General features: G+C 42.0%; 1 annotated feature.

The window, feature by feature from the left end:
• Nucleotides 4,774-5,973: an enhancer, noted in NCBI's record as "BRD4-independent group 4 enhancer chr6:51961188-51962387 (GRCh37/hg19 assembly coordinates)". NCBI's record gives its function as "activates an origin of replication core promoter dependent on BRD2, P300/CBP, MED14 and CDK7 cofactors, and independent of BRD4, by STARR-seq in HCT116 cells {active_cell/tissue: HCT116}" and the evidence as "EXISTENCE:reporter gene assay evidence [ECO:0000049][PMID:35650434]".

The following is a 15,551-nucleotide window of genomic DNA, read 5'->3' on the forward strand; positions in this document are numbered from 1 at the left end:
TTTTTAATGATTGCCATTCTAACTGGTGTGAGATGGTATCTCATTGTGGTTTTGATTTCCATTTCTCTGATGGCCAGTGATGGTGAGCATTTTTTCATGTGTTTTTTGGCTGCATAAATGTCTTCTTTTGAGAAGTGTCTGTTCATATCCTTTGCCCACTTTTTGATGGGGTTGTTTGTTTTTTTCTTGTAAATTTGTTTGAGTTCATTGTAGATTCTGGATATTAGCCCTTTGTCAGATGAGTAGGTTGCAAAAACTTTCTCCCATTTTGTAGGTTGTCTGTTCACTCTGATGGTAGTTTCTTTTGCTGTACAGAAGCTCTTTAGTTTAATTAGACCCCATTTGTCAATTTTGGCTTTTGTTGCCATTGCTTTTGGTGTTTTAGACATGAAGTCCTTGCCCATGCCTATGTCCTGAATGGTAATGCCTAGGTTTTCTTCTAGGGTTTTTATGGTTTTAGGTCTAACGTTTAAGTCTTTAATCCATCTTAAATTAATTTTTGTATAAGGTGTAAGGAAGGGATCCAGTTTCAGCTTTCTACATATGGCTAGCCAGTTTTCCCAGCACCATTTATTAAATAGGGAATCCTTTCCCCATTGCTTGTTTTTCTCAGGTTTGTCAAAGATCAGATAGTTGTAGATATGCAGCATTATTTCTGAGGGCTCTGTTCTGTTCCATTGATCTATATCTCTGTTTTGGTAGCAGTACCATGCTGTTTTGGTTACTGTAGCCTTGTAGTATAGTTTGAAGTCAGGTAGGGTGATGCCTCCAGCTTTGTTCTTTTGGCTTAGGATTGACTTGGTGATGCGGGCTCTTTTTTGTTTCCATGTGAACTTTAAAGTAGTTTTTTCCAATTCTGTGAAGAACGTCATTGGTAGCTTGATATGGGTAGGCATTGAATCTATAAATTACCTTGGGCAGTATGGCCATTTTCACGATATTGATTCTTCCTACCCATGAGCATGGAATGTTCTTCCATTTCTTTGTATCCTCTTTTATTTCATTGAGCAGTGGTTTGTAGTTCTCCTTGAAGAGGTCCTTCACGTCCCTTGTAAGTTGGATTCCTAAGTATTTTATTCCCTTTGAAGCAATTGTGAATGGGAGTTCAGTCATGATTTGGCTCTCTGTTTGTCTGTTATTGGTGTATAAGAATGCTCGTGATTTTTCTACATTGATTTTGTATCCTGAGACTTTGCTGAAGTTGCTTATCAGCTTAAGGAGATTTTGGGCTGAGACAATGGGGTTTTCTAGATATACTATCATGTCATCTGCAAACAGGGACAATTTGACTTCCTCTTTTCCTAATTGAATACACTTTATTTCCTTCTCCTGCCTAATTGCCCTGGCCAGAACTTCCAACACTATGTTGAATAGGAGTGGTGAGAGAGGGCATCCCTGTCTTGTGCTAGTTTTCAAAGGGAATGCTTCCAGTTTTTGCCCATTCAGTATGATATTGTCTGTGGGTTTGTCATAGATAGCTCTTATTATTCTGAGATACGTACCATCAATACCTAATTTATTGAGAGTTTTTAGCATGAAGGGTTGTTGAATTTTGTCAAAGGCCTTTTCTGCATCTATTGAGATAATCATATGGTTTTTTTCTTTGATTCTGTTTATATGCTGGATTACATTTATTGATTTGCATATATTGAACCAGCCTTGCATCCCAGGGATGAAGCCCACTTGATCATGGTGGATAAGCTTTTTGATGTGCTGCTGGATTCAGTTTGCCAGTATTTTATTGAGGATTTTTGCATCAATGTTCATCAAGGATATCGGTCTAAAATTCTCTTTTTTGGTTGTGTCTCTGCCAGGCTTTGGTATCAGGATGATGCTGGCCTCATAAAATGAGTTAGGGAGGATTCCCTCTTTTTCTATTGATTGGAATAGTTTCAGATGGAATGGTACCAGTTCCTCCTTGTACCTCTGGTAGAATTCGGCTGTGAATCCATCTGGTCCTGGACTCTTTTTGGTTGGTAAGCTATTGATTATTGCCACAATTTCAGAGCCTGTTATTGGTCTATTCAGAGATTCAACTTCTTCCTGGATTAGTCTTGGGAGGGTGTATGTGTCGAGGAATGTATCCATTTCTTCTAGATTTTCTAGTTTATTTACGTAGAGGTGTTTGTAGTATTCTCTGATGGAAGTTTGTATTTCTGTGGGATCGGCGGTGATATCCCCTTTATCATTTTTTATTGCATCTATTTGATTCTTCTCCCTTTTCTTCTTTATTAATCTTGCTAGCAGTCTATCAATTTTGTTGATCCTTTCAAAAAACCAGCTCCTGGATTCATTAATTTTTTGAAGGGTTTTTTGTGTCTCTATTTCCTTCAGTTCTGCTCTGATTTTAGTTATTTCTTGCCTTCTGCTAGCTTTTGAATGTGTTTGCTCTTGCTTTTCTAGTTATTTTAATTGTGATATTAGGGTGTCAATTTTGGATCTTTCCTGCTTTCTCTTGAGGGCATTTAGTGCTATAAATTTCCCTCTACACACTGCTTTGAATGTGTCCCAGAGATTCTGGTATGTTGTGTCTTTGTTCTCGTTGGTTTCAAAGAACATCTTTATTTCTGCCTTCATTTCGTTATGTACCCAGTAGTCATTCAGGAGCAGGTTGTTCAGTTTCCATGTAGTTGAGTGGTTTTTGAGTGAGTTTTTTGATCCTGAGTTCTAGTTTGATTGCACTGTGGTCTGAGAGACAGTTTGTTATCATTTCTGTTCTTTTACATTTGCTGAGGAGAGCTTTACTTCCAACTATGTGGTCAATTTTGGAATAGTTGTGGTGTGGTGCTGAAAAAAATGTTTATTCTGTTGATTTGGGGTGGAGAGTTCTGTAGATGTCTATTAGGTCTGCTTGGTGCAGAGTTGAGTTCAATTCCTGGGTATCCTTGTTAACTTTCTGTCTCATTGATCTGTCTAATGTTGACAGTGGGGTGTTAAAGTCTCCCATTATTATTGTGTGGGAGTCTAAGTCTCTTTGTAGGTCACTCAGTACTTGCTTTATGAATCTGGGTGCTCCTGTATTGGGTGCATATATATTTAGGATAGTTAGCTCTTCTTGTTGAATTGATCCCTTTACCATTATGTAATGGCCTTCTTTGTCTCTTTTGATCTTTGTTGGTTTAAAGTCTGTTTTATCAGAGACTAGGATTGCAACCCCTGCCTTTTTTTGTTTTCCATTTGCTTGGTAGATCTTCTTCCATCCTTTTATTTTGAGCCTATGTGTGTCTCTGCACGTGAGATGGGTTTCCTGAATACAGCACACTGATGGGTCTTGACTCTTTATCCAATTTGCCAGTCTGTGTCTTTTAATTGGAGCATTTAGTCCATTTACATTTAAAGTTAATATTGTCATGTGTGAATTTGATCCCATCATTATGATGTTAGCTGGTTATTTTGCTTGTTAGTTGATGCAGTTTCTTCCTAGCCTTGACGGTCTTTACAATTTGGCATGATTTTGCAGTGGCTGGTACCAGTTGTTCCTTTCCATGTTTAGTGCTTCCTTCAGGAGCTCTTGTAGGGCAGGCCTGGTGGTGACAAAATCTCTCAGCATTTGCTTGTCTGTAAAATATTTTATTTCTCCTTCACTTATGAAGCTTAGTTTGGCTGGGTATGAAATTCTGGGTTGAAAATTCTTTTCTTTAAGAATGTTGAATATTGGCCCCCACTCTCTTCTGGCTTGTAGAGTTTCTGCCGAGAGATCCACTGTTAGTCTGATGGGCTTCCCTTTGAGGGTAACCCGACCTTTCTCTCTGGCTGCCCTTAATATTTTTTCCTTCATTTCAACTTTGGTGAATCTGACAATTATGTGTCTTGGAGTTGCTCTTCTTGAGGAGTATCTTTGTGGCATTCTCTGTATTTCCTGAATCTGAATGTTGGCCTGCCTTGCTAGATTGGGGAAGTTCTCCTGGATAATATCCTGCAGAGTGTTTTCCAACTTGATTCCATTCTCCCCGTCACTTTCAGGTACACCAATCAGACATAGATTTGGTCTTTTCACATAGTCCCATATTTCTTGGAGGCCTTGTTTGTTTCTTTTTATTCTTTTTTCTCTAAACTTCCCTTCTCGCTTCATTTCATTCACTTCATCTTCCATCACTGATACCCTTTCTTCCAGTTGATTGCATCAGCTCCTGAGGCTTCTGCATTCTTCACGTAAGTTCTCGAGGCTTGGCTTTCAGTTCCGTCAGCTCCTTTAAGCACTTTTCTATTGGTTATTCTAGTTATATATTCATCTAAATTTTTTTCAAAGTTTTTAACTTCTTTGCCTTTGGTTTGAATTTCCTCCTGTAGCTCGGAGTAGTTTGATTGTCTGAAGCCTTCTTCTCTCAGCTCATCAAAGTCATTCTCCATCCAGCTTTGTTCCATTGCTGGTGAGGAACTGTGTTCCTTTGGAGGAGGAGAGGCGCTCTGCTTCTTAGAGTTTCCAGTTTTTCTGCTCTGCTTTTTCCCCATCTTTGTGGTTTTATCTACTTTTGGTCTTTGATGATGGTGATGTACAGATGGGTTTTTGGTGTGGATGTCCCTTCTGTTTGTTAGTTTTCCTTCTAACAGACAGGATCCTCAGCTGCAGGTCTGTTGGAGTTTGCTAGAGGTCCACTCCAGACCCTGTTTGCCTGGGTATCAGCAGCGGTGGCTGCAAAACAGTGGATTTTCATGAACCGCAAATGCTGCTGTCTGATCATTCCTCTGGAAGTTTTGTCTCAGAGGAGTCCCCGGCTGTGTGAGGTGTCAGTCTGCCCCTACTGGGCGGTGCCTCCCAGTTAGGCTGCTCGGGGGTCAGGGGTCAGTCACCCACCTCAGGAGGCAGTCTGCCTGTTCTCAGATCTCTAGCTGTGTGCTGGGAGAACCACTGCTCTCTTCAAAACTGTCAGACAGGGACATTTAAGTCTGCAGAGGTTACTGCTGTCTTTTTGTTTGTCTGTGCCTTGCCCCCAGAGGTGGAGCCTACAGAGGCAGGCAGGCCTCCTTGAGCTGTGGTGGGCTCCACCCAGTTCGAGCTTCCCAGCTGCTTTGTTTACCTAAGCAAGCCTTGGCAATGGCGGGCGCCCCTCCCCCTGCCTCGCTGCTGCCTTGCAGTTTGATCTCAGACTGCTGTGCTAGCAATCAGCAAGACTCCATGGGAGTAGGATCCTCCAAGCCATGTGTGGGATATAATCTCCTGGTGCGCCGTTTTTTAAGCCCGTCAGTAAAGCGCAGTATTAGGGTGGGAGTGACCCGATTTTCCAGGTGCTGTCTGTCACCCCTTTCTTTGACTAGGAAAGGGAACTCCCTGACCCCTTGCTCTTCCCGAGTGAGGCAATGCCTCGCCCTGCTTCGGCTTGAGCACGGTGCGCTGCACCCACTGTCCTGCGCCCACTGTCTGGCACTCCCTAGTAAGATGAACCCGGTACCTCAGATGGAAATGCAGAAATCACCCGTCTTCTGCGTCGCTCAAGCTGGGAGCTGTAGACCAGAGCTGTTCCTGTTCGGCCATCTTGGCTGCCTCCCAGGATGGTATGGTTCTTAAGGAAAAAAATTTATTTGTATCCCTTCATATCCCAAAACATTTTGCCCTGTACCTTATATAGAGTAGGTACACAGTAACATGGATAGGAATGTGTTAGGAACCAATTTGAGGAAAAGCACTCTGGAGTGGATGAAGGCAACAAAAGTCAAATATAGGTTTTAAGTGGAAACTAAGAATGTTCAACGCTTTTTTGCTCTTTTATCTTTCTCCTCATCAAACTTGTTTTATTATGTTCTCTTCAACTTATAGGCATTTCTGACAGAAGGCAGGTGGGTAATCCAGAGAGCAGAACACCAGGATGGCCCCTTTATCTAGGTGAGAGCTTCACTGGGCAGGAGGGGCCCTGAATTTCCTATTCTTCTGCAGGCTCATCCCATGGCGCTGTGGCCCAGCTATACCCTCATATTCTCTGCAGCATCAGAATCCTCCCCAGGAAATTCCCCTTTTACATGTCTGGGACTGAGCCAACTTCCTCCTTCCTTTTTCTCAAATTTTCTCTGTCTCCTTTCTTGATGGAGACACAAAACTCAGGCAATTACATTCCCTACGGTTTAATGTCATATTTCCGATTAAATTGAGACCCTAAGATAATGAGTACATAGACCCAAATTTGTAGGGAAAATACATCGGTTCCACCAGAAGTTCTAAGCTATGTGTAAAATATTTACTTTAGACAAAGTTTATTTTTAAGTTTCTTTAGACAAGTTTTCTTTCCCTTGTCTACTACTAAGTAAAACTACTCAAAAGTAATTTATCATTATTGCCTCTGTCCTAAGTCCTTTTTGCTCATTAACTTATTTTGAGAACAATGATTCCTCTTATCCAGAAGTCAAACAGTGGTGACCTCCATCCTGAAAAGTCCTGAAAACCTGATGAAAAGTCTTGAAAACCAACAAGGCCACTGGGCAGCACAGGTGCAAATAGCTTACAAAGCCCTAGTGGGTGGCATTGAAATACAGGTAGTTCCTCGCTACGACAAGTAGAGCAACTGGCTACTCTTAACATGCCGTGGTCTGGGGCTCCAGCGCCATACACTGCAACTGCCCTGAGGTCATCACTGGTTTACAACACTCAACATAAATAGTTCATAGTGGTGACATAGAGTCATCAGAAAACTACAAAATTAAGGCCAGGCGCAGTGGCTTACACCTGTAATCCCAGCACTTTGGGAGGCTGAGGCAGGTGGATTGCTTGAGCTCAGGCATTCGAGACCAGCCTAGCCAACATGGCAAAACCCTGTATCTACTAAAAATACAAAAAATTAGCCAGGCATGGTGCTGTGCACGTATAATCCCAGCAACTCAGGAACTGAGGCGGGAGAATCACTTGAATCCGGGAGGAGGAGGCTGCAGTGAGCCGAGATTGTACCACTGTACTCCAGCCTGGGCGACAGAGTGAGACCCTGTCTCAAAAAAATAATAATAAAATAAAATAAAAAGAAAGCTATGAAATCAAGTTCACATTTAACTATAAGGTGACCAGCTGTCCCAGTCTGCCTGAGCCTGGGAGCTTTCCCAAGACCTAGAACTTTTAGTGCTAAAAGAGGGAAAGTCTCAGATGGTTAATCACCCTGCATCTGAGAAAGCAGGGAAATAAGTTCAATACACTTTAGACAGATCTTATTCCAGAAAAATTAAACATTTTCTAAAACACTTGGCACTCAAAGCTGGTAGACCTCTGTTGCTCACAAAATTCATTGAAGTGGAGTAACTCAATCTCTGCCATGTCAGATAAAATAGATGTTGCAATATCCAGTGTTTTCCAGACCACAGAAACATTTTCTTTGAATTCGGTGCCTCTGTGAGAGATGTGGGCAAAACAACATATGTCAGTTTCTGAATTGCAATACAACTCCTTCTCCCAGGGTTCAGCAGAATTTAAAATAAATCATACCAGCAGGGAGCAGCAGCACAAAAGCAATTAATTTTTTTCTAGTTTGATACCATCTTACTATCTGAGGTCCAGGAGCCCCACTGAGATTTCTGAAGTGCATCTCACACTTAGTTTTAAAATTATGAGTGACATTGAAGTCATACATTTCTGCAGCTCAGTGGAATGCTTGCTTTAGGAGCAGAATTTTATGATCCTGTCAAATTTTTTTATCTTAAAGAAGACTGTTTAAAAAATGGAAGAAACATTTGCCCCTTCTCTGGCAAATGTTGCACAGCTGACAAAACAGCATCGAGTCCAATACCTGATATGAGGGACATATAAACAATGAAATCAAGTGGACTCCAAAAATCTAGAGGTAAGACTGCCTTCACACCTAAATGATGAAAACAACAAGTAATGGATCAAATTGCTTAGTAAGACTTAAAGCTGTCCATATAGTGTAGAAAACCTTTCAAACAGACTGTTTGTGAAGATGAGGAGTATAGCGGTTTTAATTAAACGGTCACAAATTATTTGTCAATTATCTCATTGAAAGGTGGGATCTGTATCTCCCTCCTCCTGAATCTGGATGGACTTGAGACTCACTGAAAGCCAATAGAGGCCAGATGCAGTGGCTCACACCTGGAATCCCAATACTTTGGGAGGCTGAGGCAGCCAGATTGCTTGAGCCAGGAGTTTGAGACCAGCCTGGGCAACATAATGAAACCCCTTATCTACCAAAAATACAACTAGCTGGGCATGGTGGTGCACGCCTGTAGTCCCAGCTACTCAGGAGGCTGAGGAGGGAGGATCCCATGAGCCTGGGAGGTGGAGGTTGCAGTGAACTAAGATTGTTCCATTGCACTCCAGCCTGGGCGACAGAGTGAGACCCTGCCTTAAAAAAAAAAAAAAATTAATAGAAAGCAGCAGCCCCGCATTTGGCTACTGAGACTGAAACCTAAGGACAAAAGAAGTGTCAGATACTCACCACCACTGCCAAATTGCATCAAGCCCCTCCTCATACTGAATTAAACATGGCTGAATAGGCTCCAGCAGTAGGGGCAGCACCCTTATTGTTCATAGGCTAGCACATAATAGGTAGTCAGCAAACATCTTTTGAATGAATAAGTGAATGAATAGGACCAGTATACACTCAAGACAGACATTTAATACTAATAATTAGTAATTATTAGCCTTTATTGAGCTCTCTGTTAACTGTTTTACTACTTCATTTATTCCTTACAACTGCCCCATTAGGTAGGCTCTACCTTTATCCTCATTTTACACAAAGGGAAAATGAGGCACAGAGAAGTTATGAAAAGTGTCCAAGGTCACCTCGCTCGCTAGTGAGGGGTAGATCTGCTGATTATGCTCCAGTTGCCACCCGTTTGTGGAGAACGTGGCATTAGGTATGTAAGCTGGATGCCGTTAAACATTCAAATCCTGTCACCAGCACCGACTTTTGATTCCATGCTGCCAAACAAGCCTCTGATTACAGTCTGGCTCTCACATGCATGTGTAAAGGGAAAGGATCCCCAGATCACAAACTAATGAACATTGGAGAATAACACTGTAGACTCTTAGAATTTGATGAGGAACTCATCTAAGCAATAGATATCCTTGTTCTGCTGGTGAATCAGTTTTCTGAAGGGGGCTTCATCACAGACTTGGGTAGTTTGCCCAAGAGATTACTGCCACCTGCAAGGACTTGTGTGAGTGCCAGTCAGCCTTCCCCAGGTGGTACACGCAGCTTCACCATATGCTGTATAAGCCTTTTAATGTTGGTATATCATAATTGGTACACTACAGGTGCCAATAATGGTAGATGGATGGACAGATAAATAGATGATAAAGATACAAATCATGAGCAAGATTATAGCAACACATTTGCTGTATTCATTATGTATGAGACATTATGCTCGAGATATTCATATCCTATAATAATATAGTTGGGTTTTTCTTGCAGTAGGGGTGTTTGTTTTGCTTTCTCAGTTTGACCTTTTTTTACACAGTAGCTCATGTAATCCTTATCACAGCCCTGTGGGTTATCATAGTATTTCATGGATGGAAAAATAGTGGCACCCAGAAAATATCAGACAACTCTTCTAAAGTCACAGCTAACTAGCGTGGAGTTAGCTGTGTCTAACTAAAGAGTAGGTTGATATCTATGGATAAAACACAAAGTTTTTTTAAAGAGGTACAATTTGATCCAGTCCTCCTTTGGTGCCCTCCAAACCTAAAACTGAGGCTCCTGGCCCCCTCGGCTAAAGCTTCCCAGAATCTGCCCTCCTCCGTCTTCCAAACCTGTTCTCTTCATCTATCTGCCTCTGATTGCAGACTCGCTCATTCAAAGCTGGTTTCCCTCAGCCCAGTTTTCCACTCCTGAGTAACACTGCCTTTCCACTGTTCCTGTAGCCCTGGGGCAGCATCTTGCACTCCCTTCTGAGCTACACTCCCCATGTCTCTCAACCAGCCCCACCCACTCCTGGCCAAGACTGCAGAAAAATAGTTATGATTGGCTGTTTATTTTGTTATTTCCTGCAAAGACCAGTAGCATCACCTTAAGAAATAATTGAAATAATTGCATCCCCAAAATAAGCCGAACCAAATGAGTTCAGTGTGGGGTAGGGAGCAGAGCCTGGACAGATTCAGAAGTGGCAAGACTGATCATTATAGAATAATCTCTGACCTTCTCAGGTTTCAAAGGCAAACAAACAAACTTAATCGGATAAGACACTAACCAGATTATTTTAAGTTAAAGCAAGTGGAACATAAGAGAAATTGGAGTCCACGCCTGGTAGCATGATTCAGATCTGAAATTAGAACCATAGCTCCCACTCCCAGTATCTGAGTTTTTAGACAGTCCTTCAGAAATAGACAATTTCTCCATATTAATCTGAAATGTAAACCTCAGCACAAAACCACCACTCTTCATTCATTAATTCATCAACAAAAACTCAGTGGGTATCTGAGAATGCATGAACATGTGGCTCTGAGAAGCACTAGGAGAATGAGAGAAATACTGACAGGCAGGTGGGATGGATCAACTTATGAAGAGCGTTTCTGACCATGCCATGGAAGTCATTATTTTATCCTATTGGCTTTGGAAAGCTGTCAGTGTTTTTAGGTCATCAATTGATATAAACAGACACAAAAGGATGACTCTGGGGACTATGTGGATTGGTGGAGGGGAAAACAGAGGCAGAAAATGGCAGGGCTTTGGGAATGGTCCAAGGAAAATAGACTGATATAATGATAATGATTTGATAGATATGCATGAATAAAATAATGATGATTCCCTCAATTCCAGCAGTAGCCAGAGGCATGGAGGAGAGCAAGTTTCTAGAATTCTGAAAGGAATTTCTAGCACAGATCAAGAGAAGTTGCCCCATGGTGTAATGTAACAGAAAGAGACACTGAAGATGAGTGAGGTTTCTAGTTTGGGCAGCTGGATAAATGGCAGTGTGATGATTGAGATCATGTGGCAGCAGCTGTGGATGCCCAGGTCAGATCCCTTTACGAGGCTGGTGTCCCCACCCTCTGGCTGCTATGAGTGTGGGTTCCCCTGCAGCCACACCCTCCTCCCAAGAATTACCCTCAGCCCTGGGAGCCACCTTGCCCAGGAATGCCTGGAAGATTACATCCTTCCCCCAGAGCAGCACAAAGGCATGGACTGACTGCTGAGGAGGGCAAAAGGACAGCCTCCTTGCCTCAAAGAGGAACAACTCTCTGGTGCATTCACTCTCTGGAGCTCCCAGGGGGATCAGGCTCAGGCTATACTTGAGCTAAACCATATCTTTGCTTGGCTTCCTCCCCTGCTCAGTCTCTTTACAAGTTATCTCCTGAGGCTACTTCCTTAATAAACACCTTGACCAACAAAGCCTGTCACAGGCTCTGATCTACAGAACCTAGCCTAATAGAGACAGCAAGACAACTAAGAAGAGAGGATGGTTTAGAGGCAAGATGATAACTTTAGTTTGAAATGCTTCCAGAGAAACTAGTATTTTAAAAAGTGTTAGGGACAGGGAACAGAATCTGAAATCAAAAATCAGGCAAACATGGCCTCAAATCTACAATTAGTCTTGTAGTCTTGGACAAGTTACTCAACCACGAATGGGTCACAGGTGTACTGAGGTCTTGCCATCTTCAGCACCACTGCTAGGTGGCACCTTGGGCAGTTGGAGACCAAGGCCAGTTACCTGCCGTGAGTGTCTCTCTCAGTTAACCTCAGGATGAAGTTTAAATATGACCATCATTCATGTGTGCCTAGAAGTGAAAAATTAGAAGCATTGATTAACCTCTCTGTAACCCCAGTTCCCCATCTATGAAGTGGAAACTCTTATGCCCCAAATCCAGGGTGGGGTCATGAGGATGAGATGAGATAGCCTAGCATAGTAGAGTCAAGGATAAGACAAAAGTAAACCCCAATCAATGGAGTTATCATTAGTGCTACCTCCCAGGGGGATACCCAGGAGGCATCACTGTGCAGGCAAAGTCTGAACTGATGTGGGCTACTGGGTTTTCATCCAAATGCTCATTTCTTTTTTCTTCCTTCTTGATCAAGGGAAGCAAAAAAGAGATTGCTGAGTGTGACAGAGCTTTGATTATTCTCTCTGGGGCCTTCATGTATTTTTTACACTAAGTTGGAGGTGGGAGGATTGAGGAGAGGTTGAGGAAGAAGAATGAAACCAGGATTCCTCTCTAACACCATCCTACACTTTCAGTGTTCTTGTAAGTGAGCTGTGTCCTTCATCTTGGGGCTTTGATGGCACTAGGCATGCCTTATTTATAGACAACAACTGGTACAGAACTTCAAAAGGGGCACATATCCAAGCCAGAGATGTGGAGGGAACACTCTGAAGTGCTAAGTTCTCAAATTTAGAATGGAAAAAACGCTCCACAACAACTTCTGAGACCTGGCTCTGAACCATGCCAAGAATGCCCAATTGTCCCCCAGTGTAGTAGACGGCCAAAGCTCTTTATGCCCATCCCAGAAGTCTAGCTTTCAGCCAAGGCAGGCAATCCAAGTGGGCTTTATTTGCCTTTCTGCCACCATCTGACAAACTGTCATGTTTACCAAATTAGCCCATGTCCATTAGAGACCATTACTCCCAGAAAATGAACAATTAATTTTCATATTAAAATATTTAAAAATAAATAAAAGCCAATGTAGAGGACTGAATAATGGCTCTCCCAAATATGTTTATGTCCTAATCCCCAGAATCTGTGAATAGGTTACCTTACATGGTAAAAGGGGCTTTGCTGGTGTGACAAAGTTGAGACGAGGAGATAATCCTAGGTTATCCGGTGGGCCCCATGTAATCACAGGGTCCTCAGAAGAGGAGAGCAGGAGGATTTGAGTCAGTCATAGAAACTGTGATAGAAGCAAGAGGTTGATGTGAATGGGAAAGGGGCCACAAGAATGCAAGCGCCTCTAGAAGCTACAAAAAAAAAAAAAAAAAAAAGATAAGAAAACAGATTTGCACCTCAGAGTCTTGAGAAGAAACAAGTCCTGCCAACACCTTGACACTAGCCCAGTAAGACTGATTTTGGACTTCCGTCCTCCAGAACCATAATGGAATCCACTAAGTTCCTGGTACTTCGTTACAGCCACTAAAGCAGTCCACCACATCCAAGAAAGTTTGTCATTTGGTGCCATTAGAAGTGCATATTTTCCTTTTAGAAGACATGGGTACAATTATCCATAAAACATAGTGGGTTACTTAGCTCCTGCATTATCCTCGTAATATTTCACCCTTTCTCTCCTCCTACCCTCTCCAAATGACCAAAAATATCCAAGGAGCAGGTTCTTAACCGAGGTTCGAGTAAAATGTCCCCCCAAAAAAGGCAAAAAAAATCTTTTTTAGTTTGGTGGGATATAAACTTGTATGTACTTGTGTAGATGAAAGAAACTGAAATGACATACACATCAAAATGGGGTTAGTTAATCATTCACTAATATGATGACGAGTTTTTAATTTCTTCATTTTCATATTTTCTCATTTTAAGAGAAATGTACCCCATAGTCTGTGTCATAAGGGATTTTAAGTGACATCATGTACAGTAACAGTATTATCTTTTGTGATTTAAAATATTTTATTTTGCAGACACTGCCACAGTCACTTCCCAAGTTTAGTATAATTCCATAGAAAACTCAGGATCTGACTGGACCCACTGGGAGGCAATATTGAGCCCTTGAAGATGAACACAGAACCAGATTGCCATAAGTAAATACTAAGTAGGAAAAGATGATCGCCGAAAATATTTTCCCACCAAATCAACTTCACGGAGAGCATTAGAGCAAGTTCTTTCATTTGAGGTGGTCTTCAAAAGTATATTCTGTGCAACTCAGTAATTTAGAAGGGCAGTCCACGAAAAAATAAGTCTGTGGTCACATTAGAAAATGATAAAAGTTATACTCTTCCCTAAAGATTTACAGAGTGTACTGACTTATTAAAACCTCTGAGAAATACTGCATAATGGAATCCTATTTAAGTTTGTTCAAGTATTTTCCAAATACTTATTTCATCACAGAGCCATTGTTTTATTCGGATCTAGTGTTTTTAATATTCTTTAAGAAACTCTGATTTACAGATTTGGATGCAAAAAGCCCCAGTATGTTTTCTGGGAGAAGGAACATATTCTACAAACACCAAATGGGATTTCGGAAATTGATTTTTCTGTAGACTGGTAGAGTTCGACCATTTCCAGAAGAACTAGCTACATGGTCCATGCTGTTTATTCTTTTGAATGCAAGCACATCCCTTGTTCACGAAAGAACTTATGAGCTAGGAGCAAAGAGATTTGATCTCTAAAGTTCTGGCATGTAGAACCAATGAAAGAGCTTAGAGACATCCTGGGAACTACGCAATGGCATCATTGCTTCTCATGGAACTTTGAGCTGGGGGAACCCCAGGTATTTAAGCCCTTCTACAGAAAGGTGATAGAATAAAAGTGTGCAGACTCCAGTGTTTCTCTTCAGATGGTCCTTCTCAGCTATGTGGAGGAAACTGAGGCACCTTAGCAAAGTCATCATCACCAGGTAGCCCCTGAGAAGGAATCATTCCAGAAGATAGTGGGGCATCATAATGAAGGGAGTTAGGTCTGGAAGAGCAACAGGGTGTAGCTGCGTAGATTAACACCAGCAGGGGCCAGGAGGGAAAAGGATTCTGAAGGGAGTCACAAAGCAAAACATGTTCAAAGGTGTTTAAAAGCAGAGAAGTGACATCCCACTGCTCCATAGTCTTGCTGATCTCGTGGGCTGGGAGTCTTGACATTTGCATCAAGGGATATTAGAATTATCAATCTATTGATTATAAATGTCAATATTATCATATCAATCACCTCATCTAACTCCCTCATTTTAATGATGGGGAAACTGAGGCCCAGAGACAGAAAATGGTTTGCCCAAGATTCCACAGCTGGCTGGGAGCAGAGGCAGACCAAGAACCCAGCTCAATGGCTTGCCCATTGCACATGAACTGCCTCAAATGGGCCTCCTTCCCTATCAGAGGCACTGAATGAATGGAAACCCTAAGGCATGTTGTATGTGATTTTTCTTGTGGCCTTAGCATTGGCTCCTTTTACAAACCTGGCCTCAGTTTACACCATGCTTTTAGAATAAGCTGTTTTCTCCATTTGTCTATCTCGGGGCAAAGAGAGTTAATTCTAGTAATTTACATATAAAGACAGGGAGCAGAATATGACGAATATCCAGCCAAACCTCAAAGGATGGGGTCCAGATAGGCTGGCCCCCTTTAATAAATATAAAGCTCAGAAACAGATCATTCTCTGAGTTTCACCCTCATTATACCAGAGTCTACCCAGCAGCATGCCTATGCAGGTGAAATGCGGATAAAATGAGTTCCAAGTGCTGACTTACATAACTCAAGACATGTAACATAGCACTTAAAGGGAACGGGAGGAAATGGAGAGGATCTGTCCCACCTGGTTGTTTTGCCTTGATGGTAATGCACGAGGGAGTGAGGGAGGAAGAGTTGTGGTGTGGGATATGTATACCATTCCCCCCAGGTTTGCCTTTTTGTGTGCTGGGTTGTTTAGCACCAGCTGGCTGCCTTCTTGAATCCCAGCCCATTCCTTTTTCACTAAATCAATGCACCATCACCACACCCCAGATCAATGCACCATCACTCCCCACCCCCAAGTATGGGAT

Source organism: Homo sapiens, chromosome 6 (assembly GCF_000001405.40).
Source record: "Homo sapiens chromosome 6, GRCh38.p14 Primary Assembly".
Taxonomy (NCBI): Eukaryota; Metazoa; Chordata; class Mammalia; order Primates; family Hominidae; genus Homo; species Homo sapiens.